General features: G+C 42.4%; 1 protein-coding gene and 2 pseudogenes across 4 annotated transcripts in view; 1 reads left to right on the top strand and 2 right to left on the bottom strand.

The window, feature by feature from the left end:
- Window positions 1-26544, bottom strand: part of RBFOX1 (RNA binding fox-1 homolog 1) — a 2473620-nt gene that overhangs the window by 2419840 nt on the left and 27236 nt on the right. The window lies entirely within an intron of this gene.
- Window positions 4075-4359, top strand: SNRPCP20 (small nuclear ribonucleoprotein polypeptide C pseudogene 20; annotated as a pseudogene).
- RPS3AP48 (RPS3A pseudogene 48) lies at window positions 22503-23351 on the bottom strand (annotated as a pseudogene).

The following is a 26544-nucleotide window of genomic DNA, read 5'->3' as shown; positions in this document are numbered from 1 at the left end:
TCTCCCCAGGAGATTCCAAGGTGGAGCCAAGGTTGAGACCCACTGACAAGCAATGGATATGGTTGGGTGCAGATGAAATAAGACAGCCAGGGCAGGAGGGACATCTCATTGAAGATGACTATTTGTGGATGCCTAGCAGAGGTGGGGATGAGGTGTGATAACAGCAACCCCAATCTCAACACAGCGTGACCGATTTTATCTTCAGCCAGCTAATATGCTTCATGGGGTGTGGACACAGGACACCTCCACCTCCCAGGTTCAAGCGATAACTCCTGCCTCAGCCTCCCAAGTAGCTGGGATTACAGGCGTGCACCACCACACCTGGCTAATTTTTGTATTTTTAGTAGAAATAGGGTCTCGTCATGTTGCCCAGTTTGGTCTTGAACTCCTGGCCTCAAATGATCCACCCACCTCAGCCTCCCAAAGTACTGGCATTACAGGCATGAGCCACAGTGCCCAGCCTCCAAATTCTATTTGAAGTTTGACTTTCCACCTCCAGAAAATCAAACCTTTGCCCAAGTCACAGTGGGACACCCCGGAGTTAATTTGAGAGAAATGTGCTTTTAAAAAAAACTCCAGGCTGGGCACAGTGGCTCACACGTGTAATCCCAGCACTTTGGGAGGCCGAGGTGGATGGACCACGAGGTCAGGAGATCAAGACCATCCTGGCTAACATGGTGAAACCCCATCTCTACTAAAAATACAAAAAATTAGCCGGGCGTGGTGACACATGCCTGTAAGCCCAGCTACTCAGGAGGCTGAGGCAGGAGAATCGCTTGAACCAGTGAGGCAGAGGTTGCAGTGAGCCGAGATCGTGCCACTGAACTCCAGCCTGGTGACAGAGAGAGATTAAATAAATAAATAAATAAATCCCTCTGATATGAACACCAAACTAGAATCACTCCATTGACTCCCCTCCACCAATCAGGGGGAGTGATGGTGACGGTGCATGAGTGCCTATTTGCATTGGGTCTTAATGGAAAATAAGGTTGTGTCACTCAAAGGAAAAACAAATCACAGCCCAGACTGGAGCTGTGGATTAACAACATGGCTGAGTGTTGGTACAGGCTTTCCACAGCAACATTAAAACTGAAAAAAATCAGCAATGAAGCTCCCAGCCACATTTCTGCCAATTGATTTGGGGGAAAACAACAGAGGCACTCCTCAACTTTTCCTTCACTGCACAAAATGGGTTTGGCTGGAAATGCCAAATGTGCTTGTTGCTGGGATCTTTCAAATGAAAGCAAGCTGGGAGTCAACCTCCTGCAGCCGCAGGCCAGAAATGGGTTGAGACCAAACTATTATAGTAACACTGGCGCACATCTAAACAGATTTAGCTCCCTCCCAGCAATGCAGATTAATTTAATATGCTTTCTTAATAGCATTCCGCATTTCTCATTAAAGCAAATGAACGTCCATCCCTCTGTGATAAATTAGGTCAAAAAACATTCATATGTTTAGGGCATAGGGAAGGAGGAGTTGTTGGCTGTTGAAAAAAAAAAAAAGTAACTGCAAATGGCCTTTGAAAGTCTAGACATCTTCATCATCAACACAAACATTCCTCTTCACAAAGGGACCCCAAGTAACCTTCGGCTGGAGGGCCCACTTGAGTATGCTTTTCTTCTCATTCTTTCTTACCTTCCCTCCAGCCAACCCAACCCACATTCAGTGACCAAGTCACGTGGGTTTTACCTCCTAAATCCTTCTCAGATCCGTTCACTGCTCAGCCACTCTCCTGACACCACCATAAACCAAGCCACGATCACCTCCAGCTGTTTGACTGCAAATGCCTCCTGACTGGCCTGTGTTTTCCCCTGGCCCTGTGACAATCTGCACTCCTCACAGGGACCAAAGCAATCACTTCAGAAGGTGCATCCAAACAGATCACTCACTTTCAATGACTCCCACTGCTCTGTGGGTTAACAATGATAAAAGCTCGGCCAGGCGCGTGACACATGCCTGTAATCCCAGCACTTTGGGAGGCCGAGGCGGGTGGATCATGACATTAGGGAGATCCAGACCATTCTCGCTAACAGGGTGAAACCCCGTCTCCACTAAAAATACAAAAAAATTAGCAGGGCGTGGTGGCGGGTGCCTGTAGTCCCAGCTACTCGGGAGGCTGAGGCAGGAGAATGGCGTGAACCCGGAAGGCGGAGCTTGCAGTGAGCAGAGATCGCGTCACTGCACTCCAGCCTGGGTGACAGAGTGAGACTCCGTCTCAAAAAAAAAAAAAAAAAAACCAATGATAAAAGGTCACCTTTACTGAGCACACACTATCTCAGTCCATCCCTACATCAGCCCTTTATTTCACCAGTGGGGAAGCTGGGACACAGAGTAGTTACATGGGATGCCCAAGGTGGGACCACTCGTGTGAAGTTTCCACACCCTAATGTGAGACCCTACATGACCTAGCCCCTCTCTTTCTCCAGCCTCATTTCCTGATTCTCTCGCTTGCCCTGCAGGCTTCAGCCACACAAACTTCTTGAAAGTCCCTTAAATCTGGCTGAGCGCAGTGGCTCACGCCTGTAATCCCAGTACTTTGCGAAGCTGAGGCGGGTGCATCACCTGAGATCCAGGAGTTTGAGACCAGCCTGGTCAACATGGTGAAACCCCATCTCTACTAAATATCCAAAAATTAGCCAGGTGTGGTGGTGGGTGCCTGTAATCCCAGCTACTCGGGAGACTGAGGCAGGAAAATCACTTGAACTCGGGAGGCAGAGGTTGCAGTGAGCCAAGATCACACCACTCTACTCCAGCCTAGGCGTCAAGAGCTAAACTCCGTCTCAAAAAAAAAAAAAAGTCCCTTAAATCTGCTCTATGCCTATCAACCTCAGGGACTTCACTATGCCGTTCCTCATTTATCCACCTAGTGAACTCATCCCACCCCCTAGGCCTCTCCTTAAGTGTCATCTCTTCAAGGAAGATTTTACTTGTTTAATATAACTATTACAATATAATTCAGGTACCGTATGATTTGCCCATTTAAAATGAACAAATCAATGGTTTCAGTGCATTCACAGAGCTCGGCAACCACCATCAGGATCAATTTTAAAACATTTTCATCACCCCAAAAAGAAACCCTGTATCCATTAGCAGGTACCTCCCATTTCCTCCTCCCACTAAGCCCTGACAATCTACTTTTTTTGAGATAGAGTCTCTGTCACAGGCTGGAGTGCAGTGGCACAACCTCGGCTCACTGCAACCTCTGCCTCCCGGGTTCAAGCAATTCTCCTGCCTCAGCCTCCCAAGTAGCTGGGATTAGAGGCGTCTGCCACCACACCAAGCTAATCTTTGTATTTTTAGTAGAGAAATGGTTTCTGTCTTCATAGATTTGCGTGTTCTGGACATTTCATATAAATGAAATCTTATGTGACCTTTTGTGACTGGTTTCTTCCACTTAGCATAATATTCTCATGGTTCATCCGTGTTGTAGCACGTGTTAGTACTTCATTCCTTTTGATGACTGAATAATATTCCATTGCATGGTCAAACCATGTTCCATCTCTCCACTCATCAGTAGACAAGCATTTGTGTTGTTTTCACTTTGGCACTATTATGAATAACGCTGCTATGAGCATTTGTGTGCAGCTTTCTGCATGGACATATATTTTCATTTCTTTCATAAACTGGAGTAGAAGTGCTGGGTCATAGAACTCTGTGTTTAAGCTTTTGAAGAAGTGCCACACTGTGTAAGAAAGAAAGCCTTTCCTCACCCTGAGAGACTGAGCTCCCTCTCTCCATTTATACATTCTCTTTATGCCCTTTGCTTCTCTTTCAGAGCAATTCACGTTGACCTGGGTCACCCTCAACTTAAGGCTCATAACTCCCCTAGACCCTCAGGGTCCACACTAAATGTGATGAAATATGATGCAAGGCACATATTTACTTTTGCATTTTGTAGTAACCACGTTTTAAAAAGTAAAACAAAAGAAGTGAAGGTAATTGGAATAATACCACAGATTTAGACAAATCTATCCAAAATACCAGGTCTACATGTATAAAATATTTTAACATTAACAAAATACTTTGCTTTCTTTTTATATTAAGGCTTCACAATCTAATGTGTATTTGATACTTCTCGCACATCTCGGTATGATGGCAGCACCCCATATGGGGGCCCTCCCATGATGCCAATGATGGGCCCTCCTCCTCCTCCTGGGGTGATGCCAGTGGAACCTGCTCCTGGAATGAGGCTGACCATGGGAGGCCACATGCCCATGATGCCTGGGTGCCCAATGATGAAACCTCCTGCCCGTCTCATGATGGTGCCCAGTCAGCCCAGAATGACTCGACCAGACAGATAAGGATAGAGGGGAGGCCTCATTACATCAGTGTTGGTTTTTTAATGTTATTGTTGTGTGTTTTTTTTGTTTTTTGAGACAGAGTCTTCCTCTGTCACCCAGGCTGGAGGGCAGTGGCACGATCTCAGCTCACTGAAATCTCCGCCTCCCAGGTTCAAGCGATTCCCCTGCCTCAGCCTCCCGAGTAGGTGGGACTACAGGCGTGCGCCACCATGCCCAGCTAATTTTTTTTATTTTAGTATAGACAGGGTTTCACCATGTTGGCCGCAATGGTCTCAATCTCCTGACCTCATGACCCACTTGCCCTGGCCTCCCAAAGTACTGGGATTACAGGTGTGAGCCACTGCGCCCAGCCTATATGAGTTTTATGGTTACCTGCTCCCTTCACCAGGAGATCATGCCGCTGTGATGCTGGGTTTTCTTAACAGCATAAGGAAGACTTGCCCCCATGCCCTATCAAAGAGAATCATTTTGGAGGGGAGAAGTGGGACCAAAAAACATGCAGTTTTCATTTGTATTGGGAAATGTGAAAATAAAATTGTCAACTCTTTTAGTTAAAAAAAAAAAGAAAAGGAAAGGAAACAAGATGTGGGGCTGCCATATCCAATACCAGGGATTACAAGGATCTTCTACTCTGGAGGCAAATATTATCTTTGTTGAAGCCAGACCAACCTGACACAAAGACCTTTTGTTTTTTTAATGTGACTGTGTTTTATTTTACAATGTGTAATTCACTTTAGAAGGGCAAAGTACCTGTCTGGGGAAGACTATTTAATTTCCTGCATTTATTTAGAATGTTGGCTAATGTTATTATGAAGGGAAAGAGCTCTAACAAGTGAGTGCCCCCAACATAGACACAGCTCATAAGCTCACAGGGCAAAGGAATTGAACAGCAGCCTCCTAACAGCCGGCCTTCTTTGTGGTATGCAAATAATTATCAGCATGTAAAAGACTATATATATATTCAACAATTCTGACCCCTTGTAAAATTCAAATCTACAACTGATTTGCTTCCTGGGCTCCTGAAAACAACTTTGTCAAAATTGATCGGAAATAAAATCAGCCAATCATTGTCCCTTGGGGACGCAGGACAAAGCAAGTCAGCCATGACCAATGTGGAGTCGGCCGTACACAATTACATGCAGACCTGCAGGACATCGAGTCCCTGCTATGGTACCTCCCTAGTCAGGCCCCCATTGCCTGGGCTGCAGCCAGAAGCATTCAGGCAAAAGTGCATTCAACAAATACTTATTGAATTGCATTGATGGTTAGAGGGTTGCGGATGATTAAGGTACATTAATGGATCCAAGTCCTCCCTGCATCCAAGACTCTGCCATTTGTCTCTGCAGTTCCTCCCACTGAAGAATCGGAGCATATTTCTCCAGCCCCTAATATTGGGTTTAGTCCTGTGTCTAGCTTTGGCCACTGGAATATTAATCTGCATGACCAAAAACTTGGAAACTGTGCATTCATTTGTGCTCGCTCACTCCTGCTATCACCATGAGAGCAAGCCCAGGCCAGCCTGCAGCTTCCAGCGGAAGATAAGAGACACCAAGAGCAAAGTAGAGCTTCCCAGACATGCTCATGCCAGATTAACCAATCCTCAGCTGATCCATAGATCCATGAAAATAAACGATTGTTGTATTAAGCCACTGAGATTTGGAGTGACTTGTTATGCAGCATTTTCTGACAACAACTAACGGATACAAGGGCGACCGTCCTTTATCTCTGTAGATTTTAACCAATTTTTAATAGCTAGATGGAGATCTTTGACTTGCCTTTATTTATAATGAATAAGACTGTAGAGCTAGTTTGGCCTGACACTACCAGTTACCTACCCAGAAATTCAGAAATACTTTCTTCTCCAACCCGCCCCAACCAACCTTTTTTTTTTTTGAAACGGGGTCTCACTCTTTGCCTAGGGTAGAGTACAAGTGGAACAGTCAGAGCTCACTATAACCGCAAAATCCTGGGCTCAAGTGATCTTCCCCTTCAGCCTCCTACATAGCTAGGACTACAGACATGAGCCACCATGCTTAGCTAATTTTTTTATTCTTTGCAGAGACAGGGTCTCACTATATTGCCCAAGTTAGTTTCAAACTCCTGGCCTCAAGCCGTCCTCCTGCCTCATCCTCCCAAAGTGCTAGGATTACAGGCATGAGCCACCACACCCAGCCTCTTCTTTTTAAATAGAAACCCTATTTTATTCTGACAGCGGGTTGCTTTCTTTTTCTTTAGAAAAAGTTGGCCCAGCCCCAGGGAATAAATTGTGACTGGTCTGAACAGGGTTGGCAAACTATAGACCAAGGGCCAAATCTGGCCCTCTGACTGTTTGTATAAATTAAATTTTACTGGAATAAAACCAGGTCCATTCATTTATGCCTTGTCTACATATGCTTTTAGGCTACGATGGTACCACTGCTTCACTGCAACAGAGGTTATCTAGACCAAAAGCCTAAAATATTACCGTTTGCCTCTTTATGGAAAAAGTTTGCCATTCCCTAGTCTAAGGTTTAGATTCTGAGCTTATCATTTTAGCCTAATCCCCCTTACGAGTGACTGGCTCAAAACAAGTCTGTGATTCCATTCTGACTGTTCTACTGAGGGAATTCCCCCTTCTTCTCATGCAGAGCTGTGAGGGTAAGTTGTATTAATAGGACATATGCTCAGGTTTTCTGAAAAATACTTTTATCTAGAAATGCATAGGAATATGCTGGTGCCTGAATGTACCATCTGGGGGCCTGGAGACTGACTCCCCTGCCTCCAGAGCTAGTGCTCACACTTACTACTGAGAGGCCTGAGGAAACGCCAGCTTACCCACCACGAGAACCTGCACACATCACCTGGAGAACTAGAGATCAGAATGCCACACACACCACCCAGGAGCCCAATGGTGCACCTGCCCACCTGGCCCAGTACTGCCACTGCCAGCAACCAAAGAAGCCACCTGGAGGCCCAGGGATTGGCCCACGCAGACAGGCTATCATCAGTGCCCACATACACTGCCCATGGTCCCTAGTATTGACACACCTGGTCCACCACCACTACCAATGATGCCGAAGGACAAGACTTCCTGGCATCCCCATCCTCAGCAAAACCTCACAACAGCCTCCAATAACAACTGCAGTCTGGCCAGGTGTGGTGGTTCATGCCAGTAATCCCAGCACTTTGGGAGGCCGATGTGGGCAGATCACGAGGTGAGGAGTTCGAGACCAGCCCGGCCAACATGGTGAAACCCTGTCTCTACTAAAAATATAAAAATTAGCCAGGTGTGGTGGCAGGCGCCTGTAGTCCCAGCTACTCAGGAGGCTGAGGCAGGAGAATCGCTTGAACCCGGGAGGCAGAGGTTACAGTGAGCTGAGATTATGTCACTGCACTCCAGCCTGGTGACAGAGCAAGACTCCATCTCAGCAACGACAACAACAAAAAAAAACTGCAGTCTAAGCCACTGAATAACTCACAGACACCATTCATGCCAATTACAGCTGAAGAAATCATATGCAGACTATATCACTGTACCTACCCAGAATCAAAGCCAAAGTGTGATATCCAATGAACATTGTAGATACAGCTATAAGAAAAGGTCTTTCCCCTATAAAAGCGAATCCATAAAATTGGAAGAAGTGACGGTTATGTCAGAGGCACAGATAGTCACATAAGGATGCAAGAAATATGAAAAAGGAAACATAACACCTCCAAAGAAGCACAATAATTCTCCAGCAACAGATTCCAATAAAAAGAAAATCTATGAAATGCCTGAAAAAATTTTCAGAATAATGACATTAAAGAAACTCAGGGAGATATAAGAGAACACAGATAATGAATACAAAAAAATCAGGAAAACAATTCATGATCTGAATGAGAAATTCAACAGAGACAGACAGCATAACAAAGAACCAAACACAAATCCTGGAAGAGAAGAAATCGTTGAAAGAAATACAAAAGATAACTGACAGCTTTAACAATAGACTAGATCAAGCAAAACAAAGAATTTCTGAAGTTGAAGACTAGTCTTTTAAAATAATCCAGTCAGACAAAAAGAAAGAAAAAAGAGTGAAGCAAGGCTACATGACATATGGGACACATATGTGGCCAAATACTGAAATTCTTGGAGTTCCAGATGGAGATGAGATGGGTAAAGGCATAGAAAACCTATTTAATAAAATAATAACTGAAAACTTCCTAAGTCTTGCAAATGATATAGATCCAAATACAGGAAGCTCAAAGATTCCCAAATAAATACAACCCAAAAAGGTCTTCTCCAAGGCACATTATGATAAAACTGTCAAAAGACAAAGAGAAAATTCTAAAAACAGCAAGAGAAAAGCATGAAGTCCCTTATAAGAGAATCTCCATCAGGCTAACAGGGGATTTCTCAGCAGACAGGCTATGAGAAAAGGGTCTGTATACTACAAGTAAAAAAAAAAAAAAAAAAAAAAAAAATCTAAGCCAAAACTACTATACCCAGCAAAGCTGTCCTTCAAAAATGAAGGAGCCTGGCACAGTGGCTCACATATACAATTCCAGAGAATCAGAAGACTGAGGCAGGAAGATCATTTGAGCCCAGGAGTTCAAGGCTGCAGTGAGCTATGATCATGCCACTGTACTCCAGCCTGGGTCACAGAGTGAGACTCCATTGCCTAAAAAAAAAAAAAAAAAAGAAAAAATATTTCCCAGATAAGCAAAAGACTGTTTGTTTGTGTCTTGTTTGTTGTGGTCCTACAAGAAATGCTTAAGGGAGTCCTACATTGGGAAGCAAAAGAACAATATCTACCATCATGAAAATACATGAAAGTATAAAACTCTCTGATAGAGCAGACACACAAAGGAGAAAGGATTCAAATGTCACCGCTAAAGAAAACCACCAAACTGCAACCATAAATAATGAGGGAAAAAAGGAACACGGGTGTATTAGTCTGTTTTCACACTGCTGATAAAGACATACCTGACTGAGACTGGGCAATTTACAAAAGAAAGAGGTTTAATGGACTTACATTTCCACGTAGCTGGGGAAGCCTCAAAATCATGGTGGAAGGCAAGAAGAAGCAAGTCATGGCTCACATGGATGGCAGCAGGCAAAGAGAGAGCTTCTGCAGGGAAACTACCCTTTTTAAAACCATCAGATCTTGCGAGACTTATTCACTATCATGAGAACAGCATGGGAAAGACATGCCCCCATGACTCAATTACTTCCCACTAGGTCCCTCCAATAACATGTGGGAATTCAAGATGAGATTTGGGTGGGGACACAGCCAAACCATATCATTCTGCCCCTGGCCCCTCCCAAATCTCATGTCCTCACATTTTAAAACCAATCATGCCTTCCCAACAGTCCCCCAAAGTCTTAACTAAGTTCAGCATTAACTGAGAGGTCCACAGTCCAAAGTCTCATGTGACACAAGGCAAATCCCTTCCGCCTATGAGCATGTAAAATCAAAAACAAGTTAGTTACTTCCTAGATACAATGGGGGTATAGGCACTGGGTAAACACAGTCATTCCAAATGGGAGAAAATTGCCAAAACAAAGGGGCTACAGGCCCCACGCAAGCCCAAAATCCAGTGCGGCAGTAAAATCCCAAAGCTCCAAAATGATCTCCTTTGAGTCCATGTCTCACATGCAGGTCATGCTGATGTAAGAGGTGGGCTCCCATGGCCTTGGGAGAATAAAGGCCACAGCTCCACTCCTGTGGCTTTGTAGGGTATAACACCCCTCCTGGAATAAAACCAGGAGGTGAAAGGAGGGGCTCCTTTCACTGGTTGGCATTGAGTGTTTGCAGCTTTTCCAGGCACACAGTACAAGCTGTCAGTGAATCCACCATTCTGGGGTCTGGAGGATGGTGGCCCTCTTCTCACAGCTCCACTAGGTGGTGCCACAGTAGGGACTCTATGTGGGGGCTCCGACCCCACATTTCCCTTCCGCACTGCCCTAGTAGAGGTTCTCCATGAGTGCCCTGCCCCTGCAGCAAACTGCTGCCTGGACATCTAGGCATTTCCATACATCTTCTGAAATCTAGGCAGTGGTTCCCAAACCTCAATTTTTGACTTCTTTGTACCCACAGGCTCAACACTATGTGAAAGCTGCTAAGGCTTGGGGCTTGCACCCTCTGAAGTCACAGCCTACGTTGTATCTTGGCTCCTTTTAGCTGCAGCTGGAGTGGCTAGGACTCAGGCACCCTAGGCTGCTCACAGTAGGGGTCCCTGGTTCCAGCCCACAAAACCATCTTTTCTTCCTAGGCCTCTGGGCCTTTGATGGGTGGGGCTGCCATGAAGACCTGTGACATGCCCTGGAGACATTTTCCCCATTGACGGGGATTCACACTTGGCTCCTCATTACTTAAACAAATTTCTGCAGCCAGATCGAATTTTTCTTGAGAAAATGGGATTTTCTTTTCTATTGCATCGTCAGGCTGCAAATTTTCCAAACTTTTATGCTCTGCTTCCCTTATAAAACTGAGTGCCTTTAACAGCACCCAAGTCATGTGTTGAATGCTTTGCTGCTTAGAAATCTCTTCTACCAGATACCCTAAATCATCTCTCTCAAGTTCAAAATTCCACAAATCTCTACAGCAGGGGCAAAATGCCACCAGTCTCTTTGCTAAAACATAATAGGAGTCACCTTTGTGCCAGTTCCTGATAAGTTCCTTATTTCCATCTGACACAACCTCAGCCTAGACTTTATTGTCCATATAACTATCAGCATTTTGGGCTCTAGGAAATTTCTTCCAAATTTTCCCACATTTTCCTGTCTCCTTCTGAGCCCTCCAAACTGTTCCAACCTCTGCCTGTTTCCCAGTTCCAAAGTCACTTCCACGTATTCAGGTATCTTTTAGCAACACCCCACTTCTGGTACCAATTTACTGTATTAGTCCATTTTCACACAGCTGATAAAGACACATTCAAGACTGGGAAATTTACAAAAGATAAAGGTTTAATGGACTTACAGTTCTACATTGCTGGGGAGGCTACAAAATCATTGCGGAAGTCAAGGAGAGGCAAGTCACATCTTACAGGGATGGCAGCAGGCAAAGAGAGAGCTTGAGCAGGGAAACTCCTCCTTTTAAAACCTCTCAGATCTCATGAGACTGATTCACTATCAAAAGAATAGCATGGTAAAGACCTGCCGCCACAATTCAACTACGTCCCACTGGGTCCCTCCCACAACACATGGGAATTCAAGATGACATCTGAGTGGGGACACAGCCAAACCATATCAAAAGGATATACAAAATAACCAGAAAACAATGAACAAAATGACAGGAATAAGTCCTCACCTATCAATAATAACTTCGAATATGGGTTAAATTACCTACCTAAAAGACAGAGACAGGCTTAACGGATAAAAAATGATCCAACAACATCTACAAGAAACTCACTTCACTTGTAAAGACACACACAGACTGAAAGTGAAGGGATTGAAAAAGATATACCACACAAACAGAAATCAAAAGTAATCATGAGTAGTTAAACTTACATCAGATAAAACAGACTAAGTCAAAAACTGTAAAAAGGACAAAGAAGGTCATTATGTGGTAATAAAGGGATCAATTCAGCAACAAAATATAACAATTCTAAATATGCATGCAACCAACATAAGAGCATACAGACACACATAGCAAATATTATGAAATCTAGACGGAGAGATAGAGACCAATATAATGATAGTTGAGCACTTCAATATCCTACTCTCAGCATTGGACAGTTCATCTAGATATAAAATCAACAAAGAAACATTAGATTTAAGCTGCACTTTAGACCAAATGGACCTAACAGTTATTTTCAGAATATTTCATCCAGCAGCAGCAGAATACACTATCATCTCATCAACACATGGAACATTCTCCAGGATAGACCATATGCTAGGACACAAAACAAGGCTCAACAAAATTTTAAAAATTAAAATCATAAATTATCTTCTCAGACCACAATGGAATAAAACTTGAAATCAATAACAAGAAGAAATTTGGAAACTGTACAAATACATGGACATTAAACGTGCTATTGAATCATCATTGCATCAATGAAGAAATTAAGATGGAAATTAAAAAAATTTTTTAAACAGAAAATGGAAACACATCATGCAAAACCTATGGCACACAGCAAAAGCAGTACTAGGAGGGAAGTTTATAGCAATAAATGCCTACACCAAAAAAGTAGAAAGATTTCAAATAAACAACCTAATGATGCACCTCAAGGAACTCAAAAAGCAAGAACAAACCAAACACACAATTACTAGAAAGAAAAAATAAATAACATAGCAGAACCAAATGCAACAGAGACAAAAAAGAAATGCAAATAATCAACAAGATAAAAGTTGGTTTTTTGAAAAGTTAAACAAAATTGATAAACCACTAGTGAGGCTAACCAAAAAAAAAAAGAAAGAAAGGAGACCCAAATAAATACAATCAGAAATGAAAAAGGAGACGTTACAACTGTTACCAAAGAAATAAAAAGGATCATTAGAGGCTATTATGAACAACCATATGCTAACAAATTGGAAAACCTAGAGGAAAGGGATACATTCCCAGACATACACAGCCTACCAAGATTGAACTAGGAAGAAACAGAAAACCTGAACTGACCCAAAATGAATAGCAGGTTTGGATCAGTAACAAAAAGTCTCCCAAAAGAGAAAAGCCCTAAACTAAGCTTTTATGCTGATGTCTACCCAATTTATAAAGAAAAACAAACACCAATTCTTCTCAAACTATTCCCAAAAATTGAAGAGGAGGGAATTCTTCCTAACTCATTGTATAAGGCCAGCACTACCCTGATATCCAATCAAGACAAGGACACAACAAAAAGAGAAAACTACAGGCCAATATTCCGAATACACACAGATGGAAAAATTCTCGGCATAATACTACTAAACCGAATCTAATGATGAATGAACAAGATAATATACCATGATCAAGTGGGATTTATCCCAGGAATGCAAACATGGCTCAACATACACAAATCAATACATGTGATACATCACATCAACAAGATGAAAGGCAAAAACTATCTGATCATCTCAGCAGATGCAGAAAAATCACTCAGTAAAACTTACCATTCCTTCATAATGAAAACTCTCAACAAATTAGGCATACAAGGAACACTTCAACATAAGAAAAGGCATATATGACAAATCTACAGCTAACATCCTACTCACTGAGAAAAATTGAAAAGCCTTTCCTCTAAGAACTGGAACAAGACAAGGATACCCACTTTCACCACTCCTATTCAACACAGTATGGCACATCCAAGCCAGAGTGATCAGACAAGATAAAGAAATAAAAGGCATCCAAACTGGACAAGAGGAAGTCAAATTGGCTCACTTTGCAGATGACATAATCTTATACTCGTAAACAGAAAAACCCAAAGACTCCACCAAAAAAACTCTTAAAATGGATAAATTAGGCTGCGCAAGGTGGCTCATGCCTGTAATCCCAGCACTTTGGGAGGCCAAGGTGGGTGGATCACCTGAGGTTGGGAGTTTGAGACCAGCCTGGCCGCCATGGTGAAACCCTGTCTCTACTAAAAATACAACAATTAGCCAGGCATGGTGGTAGGTGCCTGTAATCCCAGCTACTTGGGAGGCTGAAGCAGGAGAATCGCTTGAACCCGAGAGGCGGAGGTTGCAGTGAGCCAAGATTGCACCACTGCACTCCAGCCTGGGCAACAGAGTGAGACTCTATCTCAAAAAATAAAAAATAAAAAAAAATTTTTTTAAAAACGGACGTATAATTCAGTAAAGCTTCAGGACACAAAATCAACACACAAAAATCAGTAATGTTTCTATATACCACTAACAAACTAGCTAAAAAAGAAATCAAGGAAGAAATTCTATTTACAATAGCTACAAAAATAAAATACCTAGGAATAAACTTACCCAAGGATGGGAAAACAAAAACAAAAACAAAAACAAAAAACCTCGACAATGAAAACCACAAAACACTGATAAAATAAATTGAGAAGGACACAAACAAATGGAAAAGCATCTCATGCTCGTGGGTTAGAATAACTAATATTGTGAAAATGACCATACTACCCGAAGCAATCTAGAGATTCAGTATAATCCCTATCAATTATATTCTTCACAGAAACAGGAAAAAAAAACCCTGAAATTCACATGGAACCACAGAACACCCCAAATAGCCAAAGCAATACTGAGCAAAAAGAACAAAGCTAGAAGCCTCACACTACCTGATTTAAAAATGTACTGCAAAGCTATAGTAACCAAAACAGTGTGTATTGGTATTAAAACAGACACAAAAACAAAGGAAACAGACCAAAGAACCCAGAAATGAATCCACGTATTTACAGCTAACTGATTTTCAAGAAAGGTGTCAAGAACATACATTGAATAAAGGACACCCTCTTCATTAAATGGTGCCAGGAAAACTAGATATCCAAATACAGAAGAATAAAACTAGACCCTTATCTCTCATCACTTACAAAAATAAACTCAAAATTGATTAAAGACTTAAACGTAACAGCCACAACTATAAAACTACTAGAAGTAAACACAGGAGAAACTCTTGAGAACAAAGATTGCATGGCTAACACTTAAAAAGTACAAGCAACAAAATCAGACAAATGGGATTATATTAAACTAAATACCTTCTGCATATCAAAGAAAACAATCAACACAGTGAAAAGACAACACCCCTCCCTTACAGCATATATAAAAATTAACTCAAGATGGCTGAAAGACTTAAATGTAAAACCCATAACTATAAAAACGCTGGAAGACGACCTAGGCAATACCAGCCGGTACATAGTGATGGGCAAAGAGTTCATGCTGAAGATGCCAAACGCAATCGCCACAAAAGCAAAAATTGACAAATGGGATCTAATTAAATGAAAGAGCTTCTGCACAGCAAAAGAAACTATCAAAAAATAGACATTACTCAGAAGAAGATACACAAATCACCAAGTTTATGAAAAAATATTCAACGTCACTAATCATCACGGAAATGCAAATCAAAACCACAAAGAGATATCATCTCACACTTGTTAGAATGGCTATTATTAAAAAGACAAAGCACAACAAATGCTGGCAAGTATCTGAACAAAAGAATATTATTGTATATTGTTGGTGGCAATGTAAATTAGTACAGCCATTATTTTAAAAAGCACAGAGATTTCTCAAAAAACTAAGAACAGATCTACCATATGATCCAGCAATCCCACTCCCGGGTATATATCCAAAAAAAAGGATATCAGTGTATCAACGGGATACCTGTACCCGTACCCCCATATTTACTGCAGCACTATTTACAATAGCCAAGATATGGAATCAATCTAAGTGTCAATCAACGGATGAATGGATAAAGAAAATGGGAATATACGCACAATAGAATACTATTCAGCCATAAAAAAGAATGAAATCCTGTCATTTTCAGCTAAATGGATGGAACTAAAGGTCATAATGTCAGGTGAACTAGGCCATGCACAGAAAGAAAACTATTGCATGTTCTCACTTATATGAGCAGCTTAGGCTCCTGGAAATCAAAGTGGGGGCCATGTATCAGGTCAGTAGGGTCAGGGATAGAGACCGCAGTTATGGACTTGTGTGCCCTGGAGCTATATAAAATTGATGTCATGGAGATAAAGAGTAGAATGATAGTTACCAGAGGCTGGGAAGAGGAGGGGTTTGAAAAGAGGTTGATTAATGGGTGTAAAAATATACAATAGAAGGAATAAGATCTAGTGTTTAATATCATAGAAAGTGACTATTAACAATTTATTGTATATTTCTTTTTTTTATTTCAATAGTTTTTAGGGAACAGGTGGTATTTTGTTACATGGATAAGTTCTTCAGTGGTGATCTCTGAAATTTTGGCACACCCATCGCCAGAGCAGTTTACCCAATGTATATAGTCTTTTATCTCTCACCCCCTCCCACTTCCACCTGAGCCCCCAAAGTCCACTGTTTCATTCTCGTCCCTTTGCATCATCATAGCTTAGCTCCCACTTATGAGTGAGAACATGCAATGTTTGTTTTTCCATTCCTGAGTTACTTCATTTAGAATAATGCTCTCCAACTCCATCCAGGTTGCTATGAATGCCATTATTTCATTCCTTTTTAAGGCTAAGTAGTATTCTATGGTATATATATATATACATATAAAAAACACATTTTCTTTATCCACTAATTGACTGATGGGCATTTGGGCTGGTTCTATAGTTTTGCAAATGTGAATTTTGCTGATGTAAACATGTGTGCAAAAGTGTCTTTTTCATACGATGACTTCCTTTTCTCTGGGTAGATACTTAGTAGTGGGATTGCTGGATCAAATGGTAGATGTACTTTTAGTTCTTTAAGGAATCTCCATACTGCTTTCCATAGTGATGGTACTAGCTTACATTCCCACCATCAGTGTAAAAGCGTTCTCTTTCACGTCCATGCCAACATCAATTTTTGCTTTTTGTTGTTGTTGTTTTGAGATGAAGTCTCACTCTGTCACACAGGCTGGAGTATATCAGCTCACTGCAACCTTGCATCCTGGGTTCAAGCAATTCTCCTGTCTCAGCCGCCTGAGTAGCTGGGATTACAGGCAACCGCCACCATGCCCGGCTAATTTTTGTATTTTCAGTAGAGACGGGGTTTCACCATGTTAGTCAGGCTGGTCTCAAACTCCTGACCTCGTGATACACCCGCCTCGGCCTCCCAAAGTACTGGGATTACACGCGTCAGCCACGGCGCCTGGCCCTATTTTTCTTTATTTTACACATGGTATTGCATTGTGGTTTTGATTTGCATTTCCCTGATAATTAGTGATGTTGAGCATTTTTTCATATGTTTGTTGGCCATTTGTGTATCTTCTTTTGGGAACTGCCTATTCATGTCCTTGGCACACTTTTTGATGGGATTATTTTTTTCTTGCTGATTAGAGTTCCCTGTAGATTCTGGACATTAGTCCTTTGTCAGATGCAGTTTGTGAAAATTTTCTCCCACTCTCTGGGTGATCTGTTTACTCTGCTGTTTATTTCCTTTGCTGTGCAGGAGGCTTTTAGTTTAATTAAGTCCCATCTATTTATCTTTGTTTTCATTGCACTTGCTTTTGGGTTCTTGGTTATGAACTGTTTGCCTAAGCCAATGTGTAGAAACGTTTTCCAATGTTATCTTCAAGAATTTTTATGGTTTCAGACCTTAGATTTAAGTCTTTGATCCATCTTGTGTTGATTTTTGTATAAGGTGAGAGATGAGGATCCAGTTTTATTCTTTTACATGTGGCTTGCCAATTATCCCAGCACTATTTGTTGAATAGGGTGTACTTTCCTTACTTTGCTTTTGTTTACTTTGTCTAAGATCAGTTGGCTATTAATTATTGGGCTTTATTTCTGGGTTCTCTACTCTGTTCCATTGGTCATGTGCCTATTTTTATACCAGCACCATGCTGTTTTGGTCACTATAGCCTTGTAATATAGTTTGAAGTTGGGTAATGTGATGCCTCTAGATTGGTTCTTTTTGCTTAGTTTTGCTTTGGCTATGCAGACTCTTTTATACTTCCAGATGAATTTTGGCATTGTTTTTTCTAGTTCTATAAAGAATGATGATGGTATTTTGATAGGAATTGCATTAAATTTGTAAACTGCTTTTGGCAGTATGGTCATTTTCACAATAGTGAGTCTACCCATCCATGAGCATGGAATGTGTTTCCATTTGTTTGTGTCATCTATGATTTCTTTCAGCAGTGTTTTGTAGTTTTCCTTGTAGGGGTATTTCACCTCCTTGGTTAGGTATATTCCTAAGTATTTTATTTTTACAGCTATTATAAAAGGGTTTGATTTGATTCTCAGCCTGGTTGCTGTTGGTGTATAGCACTGCTACTGATTTGTGTACATAGATTTTGTATCCTGATAAATGAATTTATTGTATATTTTTAAATAGCAATAAGCTTTGAAATATTCCCAACACAAAGAAATGATCAATGTTTGAGGTGATCAATATCCCAAAGACCCTGATTTGATCATTACTCATTGCACAAATGTACCAAAATCTCACATGGACCCCATAAATATGTACAATTATTCTCTATCAAAAAAATTTTTAAGAAACATGCAGGAATACACTGTACCTCTTCCTTGCTGTCTCTGGATATTGTCACATGAGGACTTGACAGGCGGATTGTGGCAGCCTCTGTGACCAAAAGCAGAAGGCAAGAGCAGCATAGAAACCTCAAATGAAGAACCTAACATCTCAAGCTACTAATTTACCCAAGCTTCGCATCAGCTATCTCCGGTCTTAGTACATGAGGTGATAAGCCCCCACTGTTCAAGTTGGGTGGCCATCAATTGCTGCAGAATAGAAGTTAATGAGGCTTCCTCCTCCTGGATCCCCTACTAGACCCTGACATGCCCATTCAGTCACAGGCAGAAAGGGAAACAGAGGGTAAGGAGACCTGGCTGGCTCTGCCAGAGACAGATCTTACCTGTCCTGCTTGCCCTAAAAAAGCCTGGTGCCTATGCAAGGGACTGAGAGGTGGCTCCTGCGGCCATAGTCTAGGCAAAATAACCCATCCACTAATAAGTGAACATGGCAGAAATACAGTCAGCATTTCCTCAGTCTTGCCAATAAAGCCAACTCTTCTGCTCACCAGGGAGGAGACGTATGAAAGGGGCAGAGAGACTTGGAAGCTTTCATCCTAACTCACTCTTCTTTGTTTTTGTTTTGTTTAGTTTTAAGACCCAGTCTCGCCCTATCACGCAGGCTAGGGTGCAGTGGTGCAATCTTGGCTCACTCCAACCTCCGCCCCCTGGGTTCAAGCGAATCTCATGCTTCAGCCTCCAGAGTAGCTGGGACTACAGGCACCCACGACCACGCCTGGCTAATTTTTGTATTTTTAGTAGACAAACGGTTTCACCATGTTGGCCAGGCTGGTCTCGAACTCCTGGCCTCAAGTGATCTGCCCACCTCGGCCTCCCAAAGGGCTGAGATTACAGGCATAAGCAACCCCACCTGAACACCTAACTCACTCTTGAGAGGCCGGAAGTGATGCTGGAACCTTCTTCTTCTGTGGGTTAAAAAGGGAAAATTAGGAAGAACACAAGGCATGAGAGATGCAGCGATGGATATGTCTATATGGAGCTTCTGTCTGCATCCAGTAGAAAATGCACTTCTACGTACCAGGTTTAAGAGCGAAAACCTGCAGTCTTGTCTGTTAGCATTCTCCTTCCCCACAAACCTGAGAGGGAATACATTTTCCTCCAGCACACCCGGATGTAGGAAATGTCACATTCCTATTTCTGTAAATTCAGTTAAATCTGCTCGAGTCCCTGGATACCTGGCAGGTGGGGAATTCAATCTTGTCATTACCAGCATTCCTTTCCCTTCTCCATGGGCTTATGTAAGAATTCTGGGCTCACACACTGTTGGAAAGCCAGGTAGGAACTACATCCCCCGAACTCTCCATTCTTCCAGCTGCTCATGATCCATCAGCCTTTTTTGGGCCATCTGCTATATCAAGACCCTCCTCACAGCATCATTCCACTGACCCACAGACTCAGCCCCAGGGACCCTCACTATAACAGGTCTTCACTATGCATGCGAACTCACAAAAACCTTCTCTTCATCTTGGCTTCCTCTGATATCCACCACTCCCCCGCTTCTCACCTTAAACACAGATGGCAGCTCCTTCCCGTCGTTCCAAACCTTGGGGATTGTCCAGCCAAATTCTCTTCAGACACCAAAGCTTCACCCGCCCTCTTCAGGGAGGTGATGCAAGGGCATCTGAGATCTTTGGAAGCCCAATTCCAGCCTCTCTTTGGGGTGGGCTGAGAGTGGGAACTAGACTCTCTTTTCCAAGTGCCATGTTTATCTTGTTCATCATTATATTATCTCCAATGCCTGGCACATAGCAGGCACTAAAGACTGACACATAGTAGGTGCTATTAGTGTCTGTATAATGGGACTCTTGAGGTTGAAGCTATTAGCAGAAACCTGCCAAGCAAAAGGATGGAAAACCGACCACCAAAAAAAAAAAAAAATTGAAAGCAATCGTGGCTTTGAGCTCTAAACACACAAGGCACCAGCCCAAGTTTGGGCAATTTTAATACAACAGCCATTTCACCTCCAAACAAGCTGGCACTGGAAACCTCCCTCTGCCTCTTAAAGAGAACGAGTTTCTCTTTCTCTAAGTGGGCAGCATTTCTCCCCGGTGGCAGTACCCAGCCCACTGCCACCAGCAAAGGACTGCATCCAGGAGCCAAGAGTTTGAAAGTTTAAAGAATAGATTTTATAGGGAAAAACAAAGTAACATCCACATAAATCTGGAACTACCATGACTTTCCAAAGGCTGAATCCCATTTGTGGAGTCTCTTGCATCTCAAGCACCTTGCAGTCAGCTCAACTACATACTTTTGGGATTCGTTGCAGAGAAGAGTGAAGGTTATCTGCAAAATAAAGGAACCAGGGCTCAGAATTCCCAGAGCAATCCATGACAGAGGAGGTGAGTAGAAAAGGGAAGGGGGACCTCAAAGGAGGGAAGTCAATGAGTTGGCCAACACCAAGCAAGGATCATGGGAACCTTTCCATGGCCCCACATCTCAAATGAAGTCAACAAAAGCCATTAATTCTTGCTGTAAGTGTTGTATGCTCCCGGAAATGAAAGCAGGGGCCACATTTCACGTCAGTGGGGTATCGGTAGAGGCAGCAGTCATGAACTTGTCGGCCCTGGAGGATGGGACGATTCTGAGATATTGAATCCCTACACTGATCTCAGTAGAAATCTCAGGTAGGGCTTCAACATTCGTGGACCAAGGACTCTGTGGGCCTGAGAGCAACAGCCTTGGTGCATGTTCCAGTTCCATCAATGCCAAATGGGGCTTTGAACAAGTTACTTATTTTTTTAACTAACGTTATTTTAATTGACAAATCATAATTGTACACATTTATGTGATGTTTTGATATCTGTATACAATGTGGAATGATTAGATCAAACTAATTAACATGTCCATCCCCTAATTTACTGAAAATTTTTAGGATGAGACATTTGAAATGTACCCTCTTAGTTATTTTGAAAGGTACTTTATTATTGACTATAGTCACGCTGCTGTGCTACAGATTTCAAAGCATATAATCCAGCAACCCAACTTCTGGGTACAGACCAAGAAAAAATTGATGTCAATATGTTGAAGGGATCTCTACATTCCTATGTTCACTGCAGCACTATTCACAATACCCAAGATATAGAATCAACCTAAGTGTCCATCAGTGGATGAAAGGATAAAGAAAATGTACTATATACACACAACGGAATACTATTAACCCTTAAAAAAGAAAGAAATCCTGTCATTTTCAACAACATAGACGAACTTGAAAGACACTGTGTTAAGTGAAATAAGCCAGGCACAGAAAGACAAATACTGCATGATTTTACTTACATGTGGAATCTAAAGAAGTTGAACTCACAGAAATAGAGAGTAGGACAGTGGTTATCAGGGGCTGGGGCGCAGGAAAGGTAGGGGATAGGAGACACTGGTCAAAGGGTACAAAGTTTCCAATAGGAAGAATAAGTTTTGAACAAGTTAAACTCCTCTGAAAGCTCAGTTCCTCACTGTAGAGCAGGGACACATCATCGACCTTCTAAGGACGTTGCTGTGAGAGTAAGAGATGATGTTCAGCACAATACCTAACGCGCAGTCAGGTCTCCTTAAGCTTGAACCTGCGTCGCCATGACCTCTACATCTCAGGACAGAAAGGCTCACAGCCAGTGTCTCAGTTCCCAGTGAAAAGTGGATCCCAGACCAGGCTGAACAGCAGGATCCCTAGGGGATACCCAGCCCTACTGAGTCGGAATCACCGGAGGTAGAGCCTGGGTATGTATGTATGTGTATGTGTATGTATGTATGCATAAGAGACAGGGTCTTCTTCTGCAATCCAGGCTGGAGTGCAGTGTCACAATCATAGTTCACTGCAGGCTCAAATTACTCCTGGCCTCAAGCCATCCTCCCACCTCAGCCTTCAGAGTAGCTGAGACTACAGGCACATGCCACCAAGCCTGGATACTTTTTTTTTTCTTTTTTCTTTTTGGAGAGAGTCTCACTCTGTTGCCCAGGCTGGAGTGCAATGATGCAATCTTGGCTCACTGCAACCTCTGTCTCCCAGGTTCAAGTGATTCTCATGCCTCAACCTCCTGAGTAGCTAGGATTACAGGCATGCACCACCACACCAGACTAATTTTGCTTTTTTCATTGTTGTTTATTGTTTGTTTTTCACAAATAGGGCTTTTTATTTGCCACTGTTATAAGTCTGAACTTTAAACAGATTCTTGGACTAGTGGTTCATACCCATCAGCTCATTCAACTTTAGCATGTGTCTCGTCCCTAGTGGGTTTTCCAGAACTACTACCTTCACCATGAAGCTCCATGCCTTTCAAACCAAGGGTTCTCCAGCATTTTTACTTTTCTAATGAAGACATCATGGAGAGGATAAATTGGCAAGCCTTTTCTACATCTTTTCCGATGTTATCTGGTATCAATTTATTGACCACTTCTTTCAAGTCATTTGTCTGCACATCTCAGGTCATGATTTCCAACACCTTCTTCTGGATTTGGCAGACTGTTGGTGCTGAGCATAAGAGGTCTTCAGTATCTGATTGTTGCGTTTTTTGGTAAAACCAACACAAAACAGATGAAAGAAGTAACCATCGGTAGTCTTCACATCAACATGAGTTTCAATCATTGTTGAACATTTTTCAACCATGGAACATATTTTGTCACAGGTAAGACCCATGCCATAGAAGTTAGTCAGGCAGTTTCTGCCCTGAACATCTTCAGTAATCAGCTTGAATTTTCTAAATGCAACTTCATCATTCTGCACATCAGCAAGACTCACTTCAAACACAAGACCCTTGAGACCATCAGATGCAATTTGGGTTCCTCGGGTCCTGGTGACCAAGTCTTTCCAATATTTCTTACATTGAACATAGCAGGTGCTTTTACATCATACTGATCTTTCTTAGAAAATGGATCAAGTATTTTCTTCTTAACTCCCTTTTTGCCACCTTTCATAAGGCACTTGTTCTTAACAACCGCCATGGTGCTGCTCAGAGTACCAAAAGGCTAAATTTTATATTTTTGGTAGAGACAGGGTTTCACCATTTTGGCCAGGCTGGTCTTGAACTCCTGATATCAAGTGATCTGCCCACCTCAGTCTCCCAAAGTGCTGGGATCACAGGTGTGAGCCACTGCACCCAGCTGCTATTTATTTTTTCTTTTTTGTAGAGACAGGGTCTTGCCATGTTGCCAACGCTGGCCTGGAACTCCTGGCCTCAAGCAATCCTCCCACCGCAGCCTCCCAAAGCACTGGGATTTCAGGTGTGAGCCACCATGCCCAGCCTGGAATCTATTTTTAAAGCCAATCAAGTGTTGAATAAAATTGCAACTTGGGCTGTTTTTCTTTGCATCTTTTACATTTCAATGGTTTTTAATATATTCAGAGATATACACAAACATTACTAGTCAATTTTAGAACATTTCATCACCTCAAAAAGAAACCTCATACCCTTTAGCTAACACCCCCTATCCTCCCATGCCCCTACCAACCCTGAGCAACCACTAATCAACTTCCTATTTCTATAGATTTCCATCTGAATGAAATCATGTAGAATGTGATCTTTCATCTGTTTTGAAGGTTCACCCATGCTGTAGCATATGTGCTTTGCTCCTTTTTGTGATCAAATAATATTCCACCATGTGGGTAGACAACATTCAGTGTATCTCTTCATCTGGTGATGGGCATTTGGATTAACTCCCTCTTTGGGTTATTAGGAGTGATGCTAATGTAATTATTCATGTACAAGTTTTTGTGTGGACCTGTGCTTTCATTTTTGAATATGAAAATATGGCACATCTCCAAGGAAGACATATAAGTGGCCAATAAGCACATGAAAAGATGCTCAATGAAATTCATCATCAGGGAAACAGAAATCAAAACCACAATGAGATACCACATCATACCCATAAGGATGGCTGGAATTGAAGATACAGAAAATTGGCCTGGTGCGGTGGCTCATGCCTGTAATCCCAGCACTTTGGGAGACCAAGGTGGGTGTATCACCTGAGGCCAGGAGTTTGAGACCAGCCTGGCCAACATGGTGAAACCCTGTCTCTACTAAAAAAATACAAAAATTAGCCAGGCATGGTGGCAGGTGCCTATAATCCCAGCTACGCGGGAAGCTGAGGCAGGAGAGTAACTTGAATCTGGAAGGCAGAGGTTGCAGTGAGCTGAGATTGTGCCACTGCACTCTAGCCTGGGCGACAGAGCAAGACTTCGTCTCAAAAAAAAAAAAAAATAGAGAAAATAACAAGTGTTGGTTAGGATGCAGAGAAACTAGAACCTTCATACACTGCTGGTGGGTGTTAAAATGGTGTAGCCACTGTGAGAAACAGTTTAACAACTTCCCAAACAATTCTACATAGAGTTACCAAATGACCCAGCAATTGTACTCCCAGGTATAGGCCCAACTTGGGCTCTTTTAATCTATGGAAAATGAACTATGGGTACTTGGCAAGAACAAAGACGGAGAGAGGCAGAAATGGTGCCATGAGGGCACATTGACTGGTCTCTAGTGCACATGGCTCCCAGTGCAAATGGCCTCTAAATGACTTCATCAGTTGCTCATAAAAAAAATCACCCTCTGCTCCAATCGTGGAGGAAGAAGTGTGGATTGGACCTGGTGAGCCACAGTAAGACTGACTGCTAAACTTTATGAATGATGAGGGGATTTGCACGTATAATCTTGACTGTACTAGATTTTTTATTTTATCCACTGTCTTTGAAATCCTAACTCTTGACTAAGAACTGACTTTCCTGTACTTGTTGTTGACTCTAAGTAAATTTCCAATTCCACATACTCCAAAGATGATGTGCTGAGGAATCTCTCAAACGAAAGATGCTAAGAATCCAGGCACAGTTATACGGCAAATTTTGCAGAATTAACACAAATTGCACTTGTAGGTACGAAGCACAAAACATTTTCATGGGTAAAGAAAAAAGTGTTCTTCATTCTAGTAGAGGCTGCAGGATGAAGCCGATCAAGGTGCTTGCCCAGCCAGACCTTGGGCTCTTACCAAATTTGTGTTAGAGTCAACTCTGATGGAGTCTATATTCCAGTCATCTTTTTTTTTTTTTGACATGGAATCTCGCTCTGTCTCCCAGGCTGGAATGCAGCGGTGTGATCTCAGCTCACTGCAACCTCCGCCTCCTGGGTTCAAGCGATTCTCCTGCCTCAGCTTCCCAAGTAGCTGGGACTACATGTGTGTGCCACCATGCCAAGCTAATTTTTGTATTTTTAGTAGAGATGTTTCATCATGTTGGCCAGGCTGTGCTCAAACTCCTGACCTCAAGTGATCCACCTGCCTTGGCCTCCCAAAGTGCTGGGATTACAGGCATAAGCCACCATGCCTGACCTCAGTCATCTTTTTATCCTCCACACCTGGCAAGTTCTGACACACTGTGGTTCCACACAAGTTTGTTGAATAAACAGGAGACAGAAAGTGGGAACTCTGGAAGTAGAGAAGATTCCAGAAATTGTGCATATTTCCCAGAGACTGTGGCCAAATTCCTCAATCTTGCCAGAGTTTCCCTATCTCAACTCAAACCTTATGTGTGGGCCCAGGCACAGTGGCTCACACCTGTAACCCGAACACTTTAGGAGGCTGAGGTGGGCAGATCACTTCAGGCCAGGAGTTTGAGACCAGCCTGGCCAACATGGTGAAACCCCGCCTCTACTAAAAATACAAAAATTAGCCAGGCATGGTGGAGTGTACCTGTAGTCCCAGCTGCTCAGGGGGCTGAGGCACAAGCATTGCTTGAACCCAGGAGGCGGAGGTTGCAGTGAGTCAAGATTAAGACACTGTACTCTAGCCTGGGCAATAAAGCAAGACTGTCTCAAAAGAAAAAGAAAAAAAAACCCTTATGTGTGGGCCTTGTAACAGAATTAATGTTTATATGGACAATATGTACATGGGTGTATGTTAAGAGCATGAGTCATCCACAAGATTTTAGCAAAGTCCATTTGGAAAGCTCAATGCTTTGGGCTTCCACTTGCTTTGCTGCCTCTGTCCTCAGAAGGAGGCTTCATCCTTCCATGTAACCAGCAAATCCTTTATGCAGAGATGTACACAACACACTCCTCTCCTTGGCTATGACACCTTGCAAGGCTCCTCTCAGTGGCCCCTGGTGCTCATTTCAGAGTAGTTCAAATTAAGGTGATCAGCTTTCATGCCAATCACTCTACAAATCATTCCTATT

Source organism: Homo sapiens, chromosome 16 (genome assembly GCF_000001405.40).
Source record: "Homo sapiens chromosome 16, GRCh38.p14 Primary Assembly".
Lineage (NCBI taxonomy): Eukaryota > Metazoa > Chordata > Mammalia > Primates > Hominidae > Homo > Homo sapiens.
Note: the sequence above shows the minus strand (reverse complement) of the source record. Positions and strands in the feature narration are given on the sequence as shown.